Below are 21,342 nucleotides of genomic sequence, written 5' to 3'. Positions count from 1 at the left end.
TGGCATTCTCAAGGTGGGTTCCCTCAAACTGGAGAGAGGATCCTTCCTGAGGACCATGAACAGAAATCATAGACAAACGGAAGCTGAAGCCAGTGAAGAAGGCAGAGTCTCAGACAGCAGCCAAAGGGGCATGGCCTGTGCTGGGAGCAGCTGGAAAGTGAATTGAAATTCCACCCTGCCTCCTCTACCTGAGCTGAGGAAATAATATGTCCTGACTAGAGTTTAGGCCAGTGTTTTCAAAATATGTTGCTTGGGTATATATGCATCTGAATAATTTAGGGGACTTGCTAAAAATGTGATCAATTTTATCTCTCTTTCCTCTAAAGTTTGAATACTACTCAAGACCCTTTTTGTCCAAATGCCTATGGAAATTCACAGCAGATTACCTCCATTACATCTACTGCTTTTTACTGTTATTTAATTGCTTGATGGGTATGCGAGGTCCCTATGGTTTTGTTCTACAGTTACATTGCTTGAGTATTTCAAAACTGGGATAAATCCAAATTTATAAATGTTTTATAAGTCTGGTACATTCTTAAATTAAAAATTTTTTTACAAAAAACTGGTCAATGGAAATTAGGGGAACAGGCCATGCCTGCATTCTATTAAAGAATAATTCCTATGTAAAACTGCAAACAGATGGTATTATATAGTCTTAGAAAAATGGTAGGGTTGATATGGTTTGGCTGTGTACCCACCCAAACTTCATCTTAAAGTGCGGCTCCCATAATCCCTATGTGTCATGGGAGGAACTCAGTGGGAGGCAGTGGAATCATGGGAGTGAGTTTTTCCCATGCTAGTCTCATGATAGTGAATAAGTCTCATGAGATCTGATGGTTTTATAAAGGGGAGTTCTGCTGCACAAGCTCTCTTGCCTGCTGCCATGTAAGATGTGTCTTTGCTTCTCCTTTGCTTTCTGCCATGATTGTGAGGCTCCCCCTAGCCATGTGGAGCTACAAGTCCATTAAACCTCTTTCCTTTATAAATTACCCAGTCTCAGGTATGTCTTTATTAGCAGCATGAGGACAGACTAATACATAGGGTGAAACTTTTGATTATATATGTAAATATATAAAAATAGCCTTTCCACTAATAAGACTTCTTTCTCCTCAGATATGAAACTATCCATGAAGAACAATATTATCAATACACAGCAGTCTTTTGTAACCATGCCCAATGTGATTGTACCAGATATTGAAAAGGAAATACGAAGGATGGAAAATGGAGCATGCAGGTAAATCCAAACATTTTCCCATGCATTTTTATTATTAGCTACAGTTCTTTAATTTAACTAGATTTAATTTCAATTTAGCTTTATAATTTGTAACCTTGAACTTTGTAATGTATTTAGCAAATTTATTTACACTTTGGAACTGCATAACTTGTCTAACAAATGAACATAGATTTTATTTATTTATTTATTTATTTATTTATTTATTTATTTATTTTGAGATGGAGTCTCACTCTGTTGCACAGGCTGGAACGCAGTGGCACAATCTCAGCTCACTGCAACCTCTGCCTTCTGGGTTCAAGTGATTCTCTTGCCTCAGCCTCCCAGGTAGCTGGGACTACATGTGTGCACCACCACACCAGGCTAATTTTTTTTTTGTATTTTTAGTAGAGACAGGGTTTTGCCATATTGGCCAGGCTGGTCACGAACTCCTGACCTCAAGTGATCTGCCTGCCTCGGCCTCCCAAAGTGTTGGGATTACAGGCATGAGCCACCATGCCCAGCCTGAACATAGATATTATTGTGGTCACTTTTTTGGAAGCATCTATTAAGCACCTATGCCAAACATTTCTTTAGTCAATGGCAGGGCTTTTCCTCAAGTGACATTTTGAATCTAAAGAGATGACATTGCCATAGATACATATGAAAAGTACTCAGAGTATGAAATGCTAGCAATGTGATTTAAAAGTATAATTTAAAGTGCTTACCCTATAAATGAATATAATGTATATGAATGTGGTTGAATTTACTTTTAGTGGGACGAAACATTAGTTAGAAAACTAGTTCACACAAAGGTATAATATGATCTAAGTCCCAGATATCACACTTGCTATTTGATAAATATTAACATCAACCAATGCATCAAACAATAGGAATGTGGAAAACCTAGAAACTAGTTTCTTAGTTAAATGCATTTTACTGAATTATGCACATATTTTATATAATTCTATGTATTTTGTATAGTTCTAACTTTATGCTAACTAAAAATTGTTATGTGTGTTAGTTTGAGAGGGAAGGAAAAGAGGTGAGGCAATTGTCCCCCTAGTGAGGAATGTTGCCTCTCTGCAGTGGTTGAAAACATTAACTCTTCTCTCTCTGCCTCCTATTGGACTGTAGCTCCTTTTCTGAGGATGATGACAGTGCCTCTACATCTGAAGAATCAGAGAATGAAAACCCTCATGCAAGGGGTTCCTTTAGTTATAAGTCACTCAGAAAGGGAGGACCATCACAGAGGTGAGCAGTATGATCCATCCCTTGGTGCTTGTTTTTAACCATTTATGCTTAAGGTTGCAGTGTTTTGAATTTTTGCAATCAGATCATGGTGATGACCTTGAGCAGTAGGATAGAAATAACTCCCACATGCTTAGCGTTCCAATAATCAAACACTAGGCATAAATGGGTTTGTAAACTGTTGTTTCGGAGCAAGCTCGGCAAATGCCTCTGCTATCTACACACAATGTGGGATCTCAGGAGGAATTACTTCTGTTCCTTACCCATGCCGTCTCTTGGGAAATATTGCCACTGCCCGATGATTATTTATGGCCATGGCGTTCCAAGTTGTAAACACTCTTGCTTCATTTTCCCTGAGACCCACTGGGGTCTGTCCCTTAAGAAACCCAGTCCTTTCTGATTTCTTGTTTCTCTCTGATCCTTCTTTCAGGGTCCTGAAGCAAGTACATGTGAGAGGGTTGGCTGTTATTCTCTAAAATGCTCCATCCCTTTTGGTCCTACTTTTAGGAAATAGAGCACTGGAGAGAGGTGCTAGAAGAGAAAAGCAAAAATATCCTTAGTAGGAAATAAAGAAGTTGTGAAAACTTCAGATACCGGACTTGAGATTGCAGAAGGGGTGTGGTGTGGTATTGGTGTTGGAGCTGGGGTTTCCACCTGTTTTACATAATTACTCTTTCTTTACTTTTTTTTCCTTTTTCTTATTTTTCTTCCCATTGACTACCTCCAGCCTTCCCATTGTTTTTATTTAGCTTTTCTCCTCATCTTACTTTCCCTAACAGTCTTAGGTTTCTTGTTGGGAGTTACTGGCATTGAGGTTGGTTCACTTAAGCTAATTCTTGGTATGAACATTGACTGATATGCATTTACTAACCATGTCCATTTTCATAATGTTATGAAGAAATACCCGAGACTGGTTAATTTATAAAGAAAAAGAGGCTTACTGGACTCACAGTTCCACATGGCTGGGGAGGCCTCACAATCATGGCAGAAGGCAAAGGAGGAGCAAAGTCATGTCTTACATGGTGGCAGGCAAGAGAGCATGTGCAGGGGAACTGCCCTTTATAAAACCATCAGATCTTGTGAGACTTATTTACTAGCACGAGAATGGCATGGGCAACACCCACCCCTATGATTCAATTACTTCCCACTGGGTCCCTCCCGTGGCATGTGGGGATTATGGGAGCTATAATTCAAGATGAGATTTGGGTGGGGACACAGCCAAACCATATCACTATGTTTGTTCAAGACACTGGCATTTGGCAAGTCATGCTTCATGGAGGCTCAGGATATACTTTTATGCTTTATGCTTCATAATATGTTTTTGAAATATCTATCATCTACATAGTCTTTAGTAATGAGTAGAAATGGAGAAGAATTTGTTTTTTCAGACCATTTGCCTACCATGGACATTATACAGATGGTGACTACTGTGATTTCACTGCATGTTTTTCATTTCCCAGGGAGCAGTACCTGCCTGGTGCCATTGCACTTTTTAATGTGAACAACAGCAGCAATAAGGACCAGTAAGTATATTTACAATAGAAAACCAAAGTTTTGGTTTTAAAGAAAACCAGTAAAAATGTAGGAATATATCTGAATCTGTTATAGAGGAAACATTTATTAATCAAATGATCTAATACAATGGCAATGATAGTCTTATCATTTTGTTGAAAAGTAGTGTTCATTCATTTATTTGAATACATGTAGAAAAAATCATGTCTATAGTGTTCATGCAGTTGACTTTCTCTGTGAATAGAGTGACTGACAAAAATAAGTGAATTTTTGTCAGGAAATATTACTCCTTTCCAGTTTGAGCCAATGTGTCTTAGGTGAATTTCCTCAGGAGACAGTTTCTGAGATGGAGGCTTGTATGCAGAAGTTTGTTGGGAATGGTCTTGGGAACAATATCTGGAAGGGAGTTGGGGGTCAGTATTGGGCAGAGGGAGAAGTCGAACTTCAGAGAATAGAGCTGATGTACAATGTGATTCTCTGGGGATCCCTGGAGCAGGGATGACCTTTTAGAGTTGTCCCTATTTAGGTAATAGACTTGGGCCTTTGTTCCCATGCACAGTTATTGGAAAAAAGTTGGCCCTAGAAGATGGAGCATAACCATCTGGATGGAGCATGGTGGTTTCCTTCAGCCAAGGCCAGCCAAGGGAGAGGAAAAACTGAGCTGACAGCAACCAACACTCTTGGCAAGTGGGGAATGAGTGCCTGAATTTTGTGCACCACCTGCATAGCCACTGTATGGCCCAACCGTGTGCTGCCCAGATCCATTTTGTTTATATAGAAAATTCACCCCATGTGGGAATACCTACTCCAGGATCCTGGTTATTTTTTCCTGAGAAAGCTTATAAGAGTAAAGTTAATGGGATTAAACTAAGGTCTCTGGCAGTTGCAGGTGGTTTTGAGGCCTCAAATGAAATTCTTCACCCTCTCCGCTTCTACTCATTCTAGGGTCCTCTCACCCTTAGCCAGCACATCTGCTGGTCTAGATGACTTAGCTGGTGGAACAGTACAGACACTCATCCCTGAAGAACTTGAGCCCTGGGTCACCATGCCCTTCTTGAGTCATGGCTACAGTACTTGCCCATTTACCACCAAAACTGGGCTGGAAAATACCAAAAGACCACCTAGGTGCAAATACATCTCCCCTCCCTGCATTGTATACAGCACTGCCTACTTCTGATGATCACGGTCAATAACTTTTGCCAGTGTGGTGACTCTCTTCCTTGCCTGTTGGGCATGAGGGGACCAAAGTGGCTGGGGAGTAGCCGTAGCTTAATGTTTAATGGAACTCTGGCATTCCCTGGCAGATGCATCACCCCTCTGGAAGCCAGGACCTCTAGATCCATAGATCCTTAAGTTGCAAGAATGGGAAACATACCTTTCCTACATTTGTCACCCCTACTTAGACCCCATAGTTCCCAGACCAATGCATTCTATACAGGCATAGAGAACCATACAATGATCATTGTTTTAGCATATATACAGTATCCTAGAGGATGGCACCTTTTCTTCCTAGAGTATAAACTCTATGATAGCACTTCAGCTGTGGTTTCAAAAAGTCCCTCCTTAACTATCATGTCAGTAGCTGACAAAGGTGTGCAGCTTATGATAGGACCACTGGATCCCAAACTCAGGTTCCAATGCCACATTTTTTTTTTTTTGCCTTAAAGTGGGTCCTTGGTCCAAAGTGATGTTAAGCAATATTTCATATATAGTGATCATGCTTCATATGCCCCTAAATAATGGCACTGGTCAAAGCCCTGTGGCAAAAAAGCAAATGAATAGTCATAATATATGTCAGTTCTTATCAATATATTTGATGCCCCTTCCATGGTGTCAGGAGTCCAATTTAGTTAACTTGCCATCAAGTGACTGATTACTTTCCTCAGGAGAAAGCACTGTTTTGGAGTCATAGCATTGGTCTCTGTAACAGGCATGTTCACTACGAGCAAAAAACAGACAAATAAAAACAAAGATTTTCAAACTTTGTGCTCACACTCATAATATGTCCATTCAGTCTGCCTCTTCTGAAATATTTTCCCTGATCTTTCCATCGTTTTCCATCCAGGTCCCTGACCAACCAGTCAAGGCATTTGTGACTGCCCACGAGTCCTTTTACACATGTATATTCTTAATTTGGGCTATTTCTTTTTCCCTTTTTTTTTCTTTTCTTTTTTGAGACAGGTACTCACTCAGTTGCCTGTGCTGGAGCGCAGTGGTGCAATCTTGGCTCACTGCAGCCTCCATCTCCCGGGATCAAATGATCCTCCTGCCTCAGCCTCCCAAGTAGCTGGGATTACAGGCGTGAGCCACCACGCCTGGCTAATTTTTGTATTTTTAGTGGGGTTTCGCCATGTTGGCCAGGCTGGTCTCTAACTCCTTGGCCTCACGTGATCCTCCCACCTCAGCGTCCTAAAGTGCTGGGATTACAGGCTTGAGCCATCGGACCCAGTCTGGGCTATTTCTTTTTCCATACAAACTAGATGACTGTATACTGCTTGAAGCTGTGCCATTGGGGAAATTAACCTCACACTTTCAAGACCACCTCTAAGTGAGGCTGTGGTGCAGACACAGACCATTTTGGCTTGCATCCACATTCTAAACTGACCCATCTATGCAACATGCTGTATCAGCTCCTTCTAAAGAACCCCACATATGACCACAGGTGGGGGCTGATAAATAGGTGCTGAGTGGAAAATGACATAGTGGAAAATAAATGGAAATTTCCAACGTGGAAATGACATAAAGAAGGGTACTGAAGGCCGGGCATGGTGGCTCACACCTGTAATCCCAGCACTTTGGGAGGCCGAGGCAGGCAGACCACCTAAGGTCAGGAATCGAGACCAGCCTGGCCAACCTACATGGTGAAACCTCATTTCTACTAAAAATACAAAAATTAACCAGGTGTGGTGGTGCACGCCTTTAGTCCCAGCTACTTGGGAGGCTGAGGCAGGGGAATCACTTGAACTGGGAGGCAGAGGTTGCAGTGAGCCGAGATTGTGCCACCGCACTCCTGCCTGGGTGACAGAGCAAGACTCCTCAAAAAAAGAAAGAAAGAAAGAAAGAAAGAAAGAAAAAGACGAAGGGTACTGAGCCACCTGCCTGGGCAGCTTACTTATTTGCTCTGATTCATGCTCAATCCCAGATATCTTACTTCATCATATGACGGATTGATACATTATGAATTGTTGTTTCTGACAGAATCCATCTCATAATGGGCATTCTTTTTATGTCCCATGGTTAGGTAATCCTATTTCAGGGCCTGACTAACAGAATGCCATTGATGCAGATATAGTGGACTAATGTGGTGCTCTGAGAAATGTCCACGTGATCCAGGTCCCTCAAGGCTGTCATGACAGTAGGAAAGAAAGTTAATATAGCCTTGGAAAAGAGTGTAGGTGTGTACAGTTTGTTATCCCCTGTGAGTATGAGCTATGTCTGATCCTCTTTCCTGATAGTAATGAAAAATGACATTCACAATGACTGACCCAGAACCTTAGGTATGCAGTGTATATCAAGTGAATGCATTGTTTTCCACATATGACACAGCAGCTGCAATTGGGGCTACTACTTGGTTGATTTTGCAATTGTCTATTGCTATCCATTAGGATCCATTTGGTTTTTGCAGGGGTCTGATGATGAATTATGTGGGGAAATGAAGAGCGATCACCACCCCTGCATGCATTAGGTCTTTAAGGATGGCATTTCTTTTTCTCCCCAGGATGCAATGTTGCTTTTGGCCAGAAGGTGGGAAGCAGCTTAAGGGCTTCTCCTCGGTCTTACACCTCTTTCCTCACAAGCCAAGGAACTAGTGGGGTAGGGGTGGGAGTTGTGCCGATGACCAACTATATACATTTCCCTTTTGTATTCAGGAATTATGTACATTACACTTATACATTTAGGAACTGGAGAAATGATCACAGAGTGGGTCACTGTGTTATTTTCCACATAGGACATGTCAGCTGCAATTGGGGCTACTACTTGGTTGATTTTGCAGTAGTCTCTCTGCCATCCACTAGGATCTATTTGGTTTTTGTGGGAGTCAGATGATAAATTACATGGGGAAATTAAGAGAGACCACCACTCCTCCATGCATGATTTTATACAATTATATACATTTCTCTTTTATATTCAGGAACTTATATACATTCTACTTTTATATTCAAGAATTACATACATTTCACTTTTACATTTAGGAACTGGAGAAATGATCACATAGTAGTGGGTCTGTGGACCCAGTGGGAAACACCATAAGTCATATCTCATCCAGGAATCTATTATTACCAGTCCATCATATGCCCCTCAAGTTTAACAGGGGGCCACGATGATGCTTCAATCCCTAGGTGTCAACATCAACATGGATCCTGTGCCAAACAGTCTTCAATGTATCTAAGTATTCTTTTTTCCCCCAGAGTATAGTGATCTAAGTAATGGTCATAGGTTCTTTAGGAGAAAGACCAGGGAAATCGTTACTGGAATATGTTTGTCATACTGTTGCAGAGTCTTTCTTCATGGGTCTTGGCTTCTCCTCTAGTCATTGGTTTTAGGTCTAAGTACTGGCTTAGGTCTAAGTACTGGCTTAGGTCTGGAACTGTTCAAAGGATTCTGATTTTTTTAAAATTTAAATTGTAATGAATCAATTTATTTTTTGAGATGGGGTCTTGCTATGTTGCCCGGGCTGGTCTTGAACTCCTGGGCTCAAGTGATCCTCCCGCCTCAACCTCCCAAAGTGCTGAGATTATAGCCATAAGCCACCATGCCCTACTAGGATTCTGATTTTTTTGATGGAGTAAGTTGCCCTCAACCTCCTAATTATTCATTCCTGATTCATTTTGGTTGTATACATTAAATAATACCCTAACTAGCTAACAGGCTTCCCATCTGTCTAGGAATACTATATTCTATTAACCTCCTCCATAGCTGTCTATGGGTTAAGACCCTTGGTTACCATCCCCACCTTAATGCTCATTATAATTACTGGACCAACCTTACTTCTGATGGGTAAGCACTGCCATTAGTCTCAGTTATTTCTAGATCCTATTATCCCTATTGCTCTCAGAGAACTCAGTTCTGTAATGACATTTCCCACCATCAGCCCTGGCCTACAGAGGATAGTACCACTGAACTTCTCAAAGCTGATAATATCCCTCTCACCAGCCCATTCCACATCACTTTTGCATCCTTTGAGCCCTCTTTGGGAACATAATTAGCTGGTAGGCTATCTTCCAAACAGTGTATCCACTTCAAGATGCCACTTTTCTGAGTCTTTTGATACCTTCCTCCACCATCTGCCATGGTGTTAATGTTTATTTCATTTTGTGTGGACCATTACCTTTTTCCAGGTTTCCAAGAGCCATTTGAGTAGTGTGTCGACATCATCCTTCAGGATCCATGCTAGGCTGTCAAATCTTGAATAGAAGTGTACTCCCATAGCAGTAAATTCTTCCTTATCCAACTTTATTGTTCTGTCCCTGTTTGTACGTGACCATCTTAGATGTTAAGCCTCACCTCACTTGTCAATCTTATCTTCCATTTCTTCTTAACAGAGGCTTTCCACTTCTGTTGGGTCATTCTTACCCAGATTGAGTCCATTGCACTTAGAAATTTTCCTGCTCTAACATCCTCTCTCTTCTTCTCAACTCCAAGTCTTAGTGATACTTTGAGGCCTAGCTTTAGAACTACTTCCCTTTAAAAGCCTTCTCTGACTATCCTAGTGGTAACAAGATGCCTGTTCATTCATGTCTGGCTAATGAAATTTCCTAAGACTTCTGAGCTGACAATGGCAGCCTGCTATAACCCTAGGTCTGTCTGACTTCAGAATCTATTCCCCTGCTGATAGAGAAAGCTAATCATAGAAAGAGGCACTAGTTACACAGTCTCCACTCAAGAAGAAATTGTATGTGGAAAAAGGTGGCCTTAAATCTGGTAAATTATTCTAATAACTGAGATTCCACCATATTACCAGACAGCTTGTTGATTACTCATGAAAAATGACTTCAGTCAGGGTTATCCCCTCTAAAGAAAATTGATGGCATTTTCTTAAAATTCTGAATGATTTTATTCAAGGATAAATGTAAATGATGTCAAGAAGCTTAAATTTTAAATATTATTTTTAATACATTAACACTTTCGAAGAACACTCTTGGGGGGCTGTTGTTTCTTAAATTTTTCTCCTTGGTTTTATGCCTTTATTCATCTCCATTTGTTTCTATTTCCCAAATCTATTAGCTTAGAAGTTCTTGTTTATTATCTGGATAATTGTCTGCCCCACCCCCCACTTTTTGGGGTAGAAACCTCCAGTAAGAGACCAGATGGGTTTTGAGCACTGGAGCAGGTCTTTGAATGCAAAGCTGAGATTTTTGCTCAATGAAAAAGAAAGTAAATAAGAGTGGAAGACTGTGATTATGTGACAGATATATTATTTTTTTCTTTAGGGAACCAGAAGAAAAAAAGAAAAAGAAAAAAGAAAAGAAGAGGTAAGACTTTGGCAAGAATTACCCCACATTTTTCTGCCCATAACATTTCTGTATTTTAATACTACTTGCTTAATTTTTTCAGCAAGTCAGATGATAAAAACGAAAATAAAAACGACCCAGAGAAGAAAAAGAAGAAAAAGGACAAAGAGAAGAAAAAGAAAGAGGAGAAAAGCAAAGATAAGAAAGAAGAGTAAGCACTTTTAGTGGCATTGAAATAGAAGGAAATTGTGATGGGTTTTAGATGCAGGGATGATTTTCCATAATACAAAGTAGAAAGAAACTTTATAGTAAAGAGCCCTGTGTAAAGACTAAATGTCTTTAAATATTGAAAAATAAACATTTAACATAAATTATCAGAAGTGAATTAAAACTTTTTCCAATTTCCCTAAAATTAGCAATGGTAGCATTATTCTTAATTCTCTCAAGAATTTTCACTGCTAGGGTTAATTCTCTTCCCTAAGCATTGGTGAAGATAACTTATCGCTGAGAAATATTTAGGTTCCAAGGAGGATTAGGTTTCTAGGATCCTACAATCATTTTAAAAACTGAAATAAAAATTTAATTTTTATTTTAATTACATTCTTATAAAGAGTGTGCAACCTAGATCCCTTGCACGCGCAGATCACAATAAGGTTTGTGCTCCTATGAGAATCTAATGCCACTGCTGATCTGACAGGAGGCCGAGCTCAGGCAGTAAACCTCCCTCACCCTGCAGCTCACCTCCTGCTGTGTGGCCCGCTGGGTTCCTAACAGACCACAGACCAGTACCGGCCCACAGCCCGGGGGTTGGGGACCCCAGATCTATGCCACTATTCCCTCTCAGTGGCTGAGGTATACAACTGACTGCAGCATCGCAGTGAAACCAGGGCTTTAGTAAAAACCTAATGTATGCTTTAATATAAGACTGGTCTTAATGAGAAGAGTGGCATTGTTTTACATTTTTACACATCTCTTTAACATTTAGCTTAATAAAACATAGCTGGCCTCTCAAAAAAAAAAAAAAAAAAAAAACTGGTAGTTTTGTTATCTATCCACCCCTCACTAACCACTTTCTTATGACTAGTGCTCTTATGCCATGCTAATCTTCACACTGCAGAGTGAGCTTCTCCAGCTTACTTCCATTTCATTAATTGTGGTTGATGGGCATAACGATGTTTAACATGGTAAATAAAAATGTTCTTGTATCTTGGTAACTATCCCCTTTATTTCTAATTGCCGCTAGGGAGAAGAAAGAAGTTGTGGTTATTGATCCCTCGGGAAACACATATTACAACTGGCTGTTTTGCATCACATTACCTGTTATGTACAACTGGACAATGGTTATTGCCAGGTGTCTATAATTTTTTTTTTTTTTTTTTGTGGATCTCACCCCATTTCTAGTTTCCAAGTTCACTGACTAAACAATTTGACTTAGAGCCCTTTAGGACACACCTCCTTTCTCTACTGCAGGTGGTAAAGAGAGGCTAGATTATTCTCAGTGTGTTTTCCTGGGATCAGGAGGAAGTGCTTCAGTTCTCAATATAATTGGGTCTGCAGTACTGGGATGCATGGAGGGGTCGGGGAAGACTTTTATTTTTTAATTTTTTTAACTTTTATTTGACGTTCGGGGGTACATGTGCAGGCTTGTTTTATAGGTAAACTCGTGTCACAGGGGTTTGGTGCACAGATTATTTTCTCACCCAGGTGTTAAGCCCAGTACCCAATCGTTATTTTTTCTGCTTCTCTCCCTTTTCCCACCTGCCACTCTCAAATAGACCCCAGTGTCTGTTGTTAGAGGGGAAGACTTTTAAACTTTTGGTTGTATAATAACTTAATTAGAACATCGGGAGAAACTATTTTCTTTGACCTATGAGAAAAAAATGTTGCCAATAGTGGAAAAAGATCAAGGATTTAATGTCTTTTAGATGGTAAACATCTCACTCATCCAAGACCAAGCACAACTTCCTAAAGCGTTTTGGGTACAGATAGTCAATACGAACCTGGTGATCGATGTGTTTCACCCAACATATTTTGATTTTAGTTTTAGGCCATTTATTTTTTTAATTTATTTAAAGATTTTTTTGTACAAATTTATCGGGTACATGTGAAATTTTGTTACTTGTATATAATGCATATAGTGTGATTAAGTCAGGGTATTTAGAGTGTCCATCACCCAAGTTCAATACATTTTTGTTAAGTATAGTCTGCTATCAAACATTGAATTTATTCCTTCTGTCTTACTGTATACTTGTACCCTTCAACCCACTTATTCTTATTGGATGTTTTTACTAAGCTGACTAGTATCATGGAAAGGATGTTGGAATTCAGAAGTGTGAGGATCGAAATCCAACCACTCAGGGAAAATATCGGGAGAGCCATGGTTAATTAAAGGACTCTAAGGACCTCTCCTAGCCTGAGTGTGCTGTGCTTCTCATCATGATAAAGAAAATATACAAAGAGAACTTTTACTTAAATTGGCCCCCATTTCTTTTTTATTTATACAAGTGTTTCTTTTTTTATAGAGCATGTTTTGATGAACTTCAATCTGATTACCTAGAATATTGGCTCATTTTGGATTACGTATCAGACATAGTCTATTTAATCGATATGTTTGTACGAACAAGGACAGGTAAATATGTTCAGTTTTGAATATTTTAAAATTTCATGCTTTTATCTCTAGCATTGTAATTTGACATTTCCTAATCCAAGTATTCTTCAAAGAAAACTCACAAAAATCTGTTCTAGAGAAAAAGGCACAGGTGAAGGCAAGAGTCACGATGTATAAACTCATAGGCTTAGATGACTCCAGCTGATTCAGAGGAAGTTACCAGGCAACTTTTTGACAAGTAGATGTGGCTTTCCTCCATTATCTTGTTCATTGGTTTTGTGCCAGGCGAGAGGAATAGAGAGAGCAGAAATATTCTGCCAGCTACAGGGGGAAGCTAACAGGGAGATAATGTAAAGAGTCGTGGGGAAAAATGTCATTGTCCTCAGCAGAGCCATATTCAAAATTTTATAAGAAGGAGGAAAAATGCACATAACTCAGCTTTGTGGTTTATGGTGAGATATTATTGACCAGAGGGGATAGCTTCTGAAGTATTTCTGTTAAGTAGGTAGAAGCTAATTGTTTCTACACTCTCACATGCAAATGTAACCATTATACACAGACTATAACCTTTTAAGAATCATTACGTAAAATTGAACATTCTCTAAATACTAGTATCCTGGAACAATGCCCTGTCATATTTGTAGCTTTGGTAGCCAGTTTAGGAGAAGGAGCAAATCCCTTTCCTAGTGTAATGTATCAGAGGGCTGAAATGCTGGGTTTAAAACACACAAGCCCATGGTAACAGCATAGGAGGGAAGATCCCAAGTGTCTAAGGGAGCAAGAATGAGAGATGAAAATGCAGCCTCAAAGGACACTTATGCTTCACATCGAAGGGGTAAGGCAAGAATATGCAAAATAGACAGCACAGGGCAAGTACCCAAGCGTCCACGATAGGGCTGGGATTCTGACAAGACACTGGCGTGGGCTATTAGGCACATTGCTAGCGTGTTCAGGAAACCTTCCATGAACTGTGTACGGTGGGGAAAAAAAACAACAACCCATTGTATGTTACTATGCTCTCAATACAACACAATTCTGGTGACCAATATGTATATGGCGTTTCCTCTACACACCAAGCAATTCTGTAACACCAGCTGGGTTAAAATTTAACTGAATTTGGACACTAACGGGAGTTAGAACAGGCCCAACAGGTTAAGGGCTCAGTCTCCCAAGATGATCCCCCACTTCAGATGCCAGTCGTAAGTCTCAGGTTGTGGCTTGTGCTTCTGACTGACCAGCTATAAATTGGAGTTCCCACAGCTCCCTTGTGGGTCTAGTAATTTGCTAGCACAACTTACAGACCATAGGAAAACACTTATGTTTACTGCGCTATTATATTAATAAAGGGTATGATAATGAATACAGATGAAGAGCCAGATGAAGAGATACATAGGGCAAAGTCGGGAAGAGTCATGAGAACAGGGGCTTTTGTCCCCATGGAATTGGGGTGTGGCACCCTCCTAGTTCATAGATGTGTTCACTAACCTGATAATGCTCCAAACCCCATAGTTCAGGGATTTTTATAGAGGTTTTATCATGGAGGCATGATGGACTATTAACTCAGTCTCCAGTGCTTCTCCCTTTCCTGGATGAAGGAGGTTGGGGTAAAAGTTCCAAGCTTCTAAACATAACTTAGTCTTTCTGGTGACCAGCCCCATCTTGGACCTCACCAAGGGCTGCTTCATTAGACCAAAAGACACTTTTCTTTTTCTTTCTTTCCTCTTTCTTTCTTTCCTTCTTTCTTTCTTTCTCTTTCTTTCTTTCTTCTTTCTCTTTCTTTCTTTCTTTCTCTTTCTTTCTTTCTTTTCTTTCTTTCTTTCTTTCCCTCCCTCCCTCCATCCCTCTCTCTCTCTCTTTCTTTCTTTCTTTTTTTCTTTCAAATAATATCATAGAGACTTAAGCTGGTCTCAAACTCCTGCACTCAAGGGATCCTCCTGCCTCAGCCTTCCAAAGTGCTGGGATTACAGGTGTGAGCCACTACACCTGGCCAGAACAAAAGACATTTCTATCACCCAGGAAATATCAAGGGATAAAGAGCTCTGTTTCAGGAACTGGGGTCAAGAACCAAATACCACAACAAAAGATGGACTTAGGGCCGCGCTCAGTGGCTCATGCCTGTAATCCCAGCACTTTGGGAGGCCAAGGCAGGTGGATCACGAGGTCAGGAGATCAAGACCAGCCTGGCCAATATGGTGAAACCCTGTCTCTACTAAAAATACAAAAATTAGCTGGGCGTGGTGGCACGTGCCTGTAGTCCTAGCTACTCAGGAGGCTGAGGCAGAAGAATTGCTTGAAGCCAGAGGCGGAGGTTGCAGCAAGACGAGATTGCACCACTGCACTCCAGCCTAGGTGACAGAGCAAGACTCTGACTCAAAAAAAAAAAAAATGCACTTAGTAACCATATTGCTTAGGAAATTACAAGAGTTTTAAGAGTTCTGTGCCAGGGACCAAATATATATATATATATATCTCACAATATCACAAGAATGCTACTCATGAAAGGAATGGCTTTACCTGGATGGTGATGATAGACCTTGAGAGATTTGTACACTCTCACTTTTGCACTTACAAAATTTTTCTTTTTTTCTTTTTTTTTCTTTTTTTTTTTTTGAGACAGGGTCTCGCTGTTGCCCAGGCTGGAATGCAGTAGTGCTATCATGGCTCACTGCAGCCTCAAACTCCCAGGCTCAAGTGATATTGGGTCTCAGCCTCCCAAAGCACTGGGATTACAGATGTGAGCTGTCTGGCCAAAATTTTACCTTTTATTTCTACAGCAGAATATTTTCTACAGCCATAGGTTTATTAGTATTTGTATTTTATTACATTGTTAAAGGCATATTTATTGAAAATGAATTTTTCTGTTGACCTCAACAAAGTTAATTGACAGTTATTCACAAAAATTCACAATGACATAAAAAGGAGAAACACTGAATTGATTTTATTTTCTATTTTAGGTTACCTAGAACAAGGACTGCTGGTAAAGGAAGAACTTAAACTCATAAATAAATATAAATCCAACTTGCAATTTAAACTTGATGTTCTGTCACTGATACCAACTGATTTGCTGTATTTTAAGTTAGGGTGGAACTATCCAGAAATTAGATTAAACAGGTTGTTACGGTTCTCTCGTATGTTTGAGTTCTTCCAGAGAACAGAAACAAGGACAAACTATCCAAACATCTTCAGGATTTCCAACCTTGTTATGTATATCGTCATCATTATCCACTGGAATGCATGTGTGTTCTACTCTATTTCTAAAGCTATTGGATTTGGAAATGATACATGGGTCTACCCTGATATTAATGATCCTGAATTTGGCCGTTTGGCTAGAAAATACGTATACAGCCTTTACTGGTCTACACTGACTTTGACTACCATTGGTGAAACACCCCCTCCCGTGAGGGATTCTGAGTATGTCTTTGTGGTGGTTGATTTCCTAATTGGAGTGTTAATTTTTGCTACCATCGTTGGTAACATAGGTTCTATGATTTCCAACATGAATGCAGCCAGAGCAGAATTTCAAGCAAGAATTGATGCTATCAAGCAATATATGCATTTTCGAAATGTAAGCAAAGATATGGAAAAGAGGGTTATTAAATGGTTTGACTACCTGTGGACCAACAAAAAAACAGTTGATGAGAAAGAAGTCTTAAAGTATCTACCTGATAAACTAAGAGCAGAAATTGCCATCAACGTTCACTTAGACACATTAAAAAAGGTACGCATTTTTGCTGATTGTGAAGCTGGTCTGTTGGTGGAGTTGGTCTTGAAATTGCAACCCCAAGTCTACAGTCCTGGAGATTATATTTGCAAGAAAGGGGATATCGGACGAGAGATGTACATTATCAAGGAAGGCAAACTCGCTGTGGTGGCAGATGATGGAGTCACTCAGTTTGTGGTATTGAGCGATGGCAGCTACTTCGGTGAGATCAGCATTCTTAACATTAAAGGGAGCAAAGCTGGCAATCGAAGAACGGCCAATATTAAAAGTATTGGCTACTCAGACCTGTTCTGTCTCTCAAAAGATGACCTCATGGAAGCTCTAACTGAGTACCCAGATGCCAAAACTATGCTGGAAGAGAAAGGGAAGCAGATTTTAATGAAAGATGGTCTACTGGATCTAAACATTGCAAATGCTGGCAGTGATCCTAAAGATCTTGAAGAGAAGGTTACTCGAATGGAGGGGTCAGTAGACCTCCTGCAAACCAGGTTTGCCCGAATCTTGGCTGAGTATGAGTCCATGCAGCAGAAACTGAAACAAAGATTAACCAAGGTTGAGAAATTTCTGAAACCGCTTATTGACACAGAATTTTCAAGTATTGAGGGACCTGGAGCGGAAAGTGGGCCCATCGACTCTACATAGAACCGAAAAGCTGGTCATTAACAGGGACATGCCTCATGATCCTTTTGATCCTATGACTGACATCAACTAAAATTTAAAAGAAGAGGAAGACTCAGTTGGGAAATTTTTCCATGAGGAAAATGTGCTTTGGTGCAAGGTACAAGGCCCACACCCTCTCTGAGAGATACTATGATTAAAAAAGCTTTATATCTTGGGATTTTTCACAACTGATAATGTGCAAAGATATAAACTGATTAACTTGTCAGTGTCTGTATTTTCTGATTTTTTCACATACGCTCATTTTATGTAATATTCTTCATAAAAATGAATAAGTAGCCCTCACTTTCATGCCATTTCCATTGTTGAGTGAAGCGTATTTGAAGTAACTGAGAATTACCATGTACATCATATTTGGGATAACATTTTTAAAAATTAGACTGCAATAAAGTAAAATTAATTATGCAACTGTAGTGAAAATGAGTTATTTGATAATTTAGCAGGCAGTTTAGGATCTTGCAGAACTTCAGGGTCATTTTAAGGAAAATCAATTATTTTTGTAGTCTAGGACTGAGAAAGAGTGGTTGAGAGAAACTTTTTACCAATAAAGCATGATAAATCAGACTTTATGAATATATATATATATACACACATAGATATAGAGATATATTACATTGAAAATCATAAAATGTTTTAGGAATCTTTTATATTAAATTTTAATTTTTTTCTGATTACTAAGACCTGACAGCAGTGGCTATTTTTTTACTTCTCTGCCTGGCCAGCAGTAAGAAAAAGGGATAAAGTAATAATATTTCTGGACGATTAACAAGGGAAATTGTCATAATGTTAAAAAAGGCGACTTGAAATTTCTGGAGACCAGCATGAGCATCACCTGGGAGCTTCTCAGAAATGCAGAATCCTGGGCTCTACCCCTACCTACTGCATCAGAATCTGCATCTTAGCAAGTGTTTCATATTCACGTTGAAGCTTGAGAAGCATGCATGTAGAGAACCAGGAAGGAGTTAATGAGAGGATGGTCCTAGAAAAGAAAAGGAAACTATCTGGCAAGTGTGTGGATGTGGAAAACATTGGTAATCAATCAGCCATCTTCTGCTGAACCCAGATGTGGCTCAAAAAATCTTTCTTAACACAGATCACTAGAAGATTTCTATCCCTATCTATAATGACATGATTAAAAATGGCTTCTTGTTAATTTGACATTTCAGATACTTAAACAGACCTTGCTTGGGGTATGCTGATGGCATATTTTATTCTATTGTACCAGTAGAATATCCATTGAACTATACATTATGTCTTTGAAGTCCTGTGTTTCCATTCATCTTGGCTGTTCCTTCAATATCTTCACTACAGAAATGTCTAGTCCTGGAGTGGGTGCGTTGTATATAATACCATAACGTATTTCTCTCTGACACAAGTTCTCCTTTTCCTTTCTTTTTCTTCTTGTTCTTGTTATTACTTCTTCATCTGCGTTTTGTTCTTTTTCTCTGTGCCATTTCTTGCCTGTTATAAAAACCTCTAAGACAGTGTAAAGAGGCTTACTGGCTACCCATACCAGGTAGATATGGTAAGATAGGGAGAATGAGGGTTACATACCTGGCTTAGAGCTGGCTCCCAAGAAGAAGCACCCCTAATTACAGCATCCAGGACTAGGGTGAATACTTTGACTCTCATCTGGGCTAGAGATATAGCCAAGGATTCTGATTTGGTGACCCCTGGCCCAAGCTCTATAGTCTTGCTGATGCTTACATTGGACAGGTGGCTGATTCTTGGCTCAAAGTCTTGGGGTAAGGCGAATTTAGCCAACTATTCTTTTTTTCGTGACTCCTCCATGTAGAGAGGAATCTGATGTGCTGAAATTGCACTGTGGGCTTTAGTTTACAGGCACCTGGGGTGCAATGCAGAGGTTCATAATTGGATTCCAGCTTCATCAGGGAGTTTTTTTAAAGACAGGAAACATATGGCTTTAGGGAAATTCATGATAAGAGTGTTGACTTGGGTACATGTGGATGCTAAAGCAGGAACTCATCTTTTAGCAACCCAGACACCAGCCATATTCCAAGTTGATTCTAGACGCCAATTGGTCATCCAGAACTAGCATCTTAACATATGAGGACTAGAACAGGTTTGGCATAAGGACAGGAGTGAGGGTGGGGAGGTGGGTAGGATGAAATCTGAAGATCCTTAATACCTGTGTCTGAGAGGAGCTGGGACTCAGAGATGGTAGATCAGTGAGGGAATAGAAATTCAATCTCTAGTCTTGCCAATAAGTCTGGTGCGTGTTTACCCTGTTCTTCTGCCAACTCTATTATAATATAGAGTTCTCATAGGAAGAGACTGCTTTAACATTTTGCATACATTAAAAAAAAAACCCGTTTCCAACTTAAAATATGGTGTGATTAAGCTTCCTACCATTAGGTGGCAATGTAGGTCTACAATTATAACCTTGAAAGCCCGAAGCTGTTTAGAGATTACAAGCGGTGTAATCAGTGCTCTTTGGCAATAAAGAGTAATATTTCTCTGACACAAATATTTCCAGAAGATTTTAGTATACAAACTATATACTAGTTTGAACTGAAAACATAATCAAATAAAATTTAAAATTTAAATTTAATTGATAAAGTAATAAGACACATTGAAGCATTTGAATATTTCTTAATTTCAGGAAGTTCACCAAGGGAATAATAATAATTACATTACAAAAAGCTTACTGATGTTTAAGACATGTACTAGAGATAAACAAAAGGGGACAAAATGGAGCAAACGGTGTTTATATTAAAATTAAGTTTACATTTTTATTTTTAAAAAGTCCATTGCTTTAAAAAGTCTTAAAACTACTGATTTAACAGTATTGGAAATAAACCTACTTAGGACACTGTAAATTTAGGTAATGTTCTTCCTCGTGTTAACTGAAACTGTGTTATTGGATGCCCAGGTTTATAGACTGTTCAGAATACAAAATATGAATCAACAGGTGTGTAGACTCAAAAGAAATAGTTTGATATCCCCTAAACTAGTTTATCTCTAGGTGAAGAAGAAAGAAAGTGGGGAATTCAAGGAAAGGGAAAGGAGAATGTAGAAAGGCCTCAGAGATCATCTAGTCCATCCCTACTCATTTTACAAATACAAAAATCATGGCCAGGCAATAGTAAGGTTGTTGAGAATGTAGAGTATTAGAAACTGAGTGAGAGTGGGAATCTTTTTTTTTTAAACTGAGTCTCACTGAGGGAGGCAGGAGGCAGCCACATGCCTAGGCAGATAGGGGCAGGTCCCTGGTGAAACACCACCTCCAAGCTGAAGACAGTTTAAAGCCTGAAAGCCAAGCTACAAGTTAAATTCTCAGACCAGATTGAGAACTTGTCTTTCCGTTTGGCATGCTTTCCTCTGATTGATCCCCACCCTTCACCTACTTTACATATACCTACCCTTTTCTGTTGGTTTTCTACACTGTTGTGCCCACCTTTGAGTGATGTCTTCACTTTAATCTTTTTTGCATACTCACAAACCAATCAGCATGCACTTCCTATTCTGAGCCCATAAAAGGCCCCAAGCTCAGCCATACTGGGGGACTTTTTCCCACCTTTGGGTAGGGGAACCACCCCCACTACCCCACGTCCCCGCTTTGCTGAGAGCTTTCCTTTCGCTTAATAAATTCTACTCCACTCACTCTCCAGTGTCCATGTGCCTAATTCTTCCTGGTCATGAGACAAGAACTTGGACCAACTTGGACCTACTTGGACCTACTTGGACCTACACACACGTGCCACCACACCTGGCTAATTTTTGTATTTTTAGTGGAGATGGAGTTTCACCACGTTGGCCAGGCTGGTCTCAATCGCCTGACCTCGTGGTCCGCCCACCTCATCCTCCCAATGTGCTGGGATTACAGGGGTGAGCCACTGCACCCAGATTTTTTTTTTTTTTTTAGTTAGGGTTTACTCCCCTCTCCCAG

The 21,342-nt window shown here is 39.8% G+C and overlaps 1 protein-coding gene and 1 long non-coding RNA gene across 6 annotated transcripts in view; one reads left to right on the top strand and one right to left on the bottom strand.

Moving 5' to 3' along the window:
- The window catches only part of CNGA1 (cyclic nucleotide gated channel subunit alpha 1), an 80,705-nt gene extending 62,865 nt beyond the window's left edge, over nt 1-17,840 (top strand). For all 5 annotated transcript variants that reach the window (XM_005248049.5, XM_011513623.3, NM_001379270.1 and 2 more), the window contains 8 exons: nt 1,114-1,234; nt 2,348-2,464; nt 3,922-3,984; nt 10,405-10,446; nt 10,529-10,636; nt 11,669-11,776; nt 12,948-13,054; nt 15,988-17,840. In XM_005248049.5, the coding sequence (XP_005248106.3) occupies nt 1,116-1,234; nt 2,348-2,464; nt 3,922-3,984; nt 10,405-10,446; nt 10,529-10,636; nt 11,669-11,776; nt 12,948-13,054; nt 15,988-17,396 (2,073 nt within the window). In that variant the 5' untranslated portion in view covers nt 1,114-1,115 and the 3' untranslated portion in view covers nt 17,397-17,840. The remainder of the gene's footprint in view (nt 1-1,113; nt 1,235-2,347; nt 2,465-3,921; nt 3,985-10,404; nt 10,447-10,528; nt 10,637-11,668; nt 11,777-12,947; nt 13,055-15,987) is intronic.
- The window catches only part of LOC101927157 (uncharacterized), a 76,511-nt gene that overhangs the window by 36,921 nt on the left and 18,248 nt on the right, over nt 1-21,342 (bottom strand). The window lies entirely within an intron of this gene.

Source organism: Homo sapiens, chromosome 4, assembly GCF_000001405.40.
Source record: "Homo sapiens chromosome 4, GRCh38.p14 Primary Assembly".
Taxonomy (NCBI): domain Eukaryota; kingdom Metazoa; phylum Chordata; class Mammalia; order Primates; family Hominidae; genus Homo; species Homo sapiens.
Note: the sequence above shows the minus strand (reverse complement) of the source record. Positions and strands in the feature narration are given on the sequence as shown.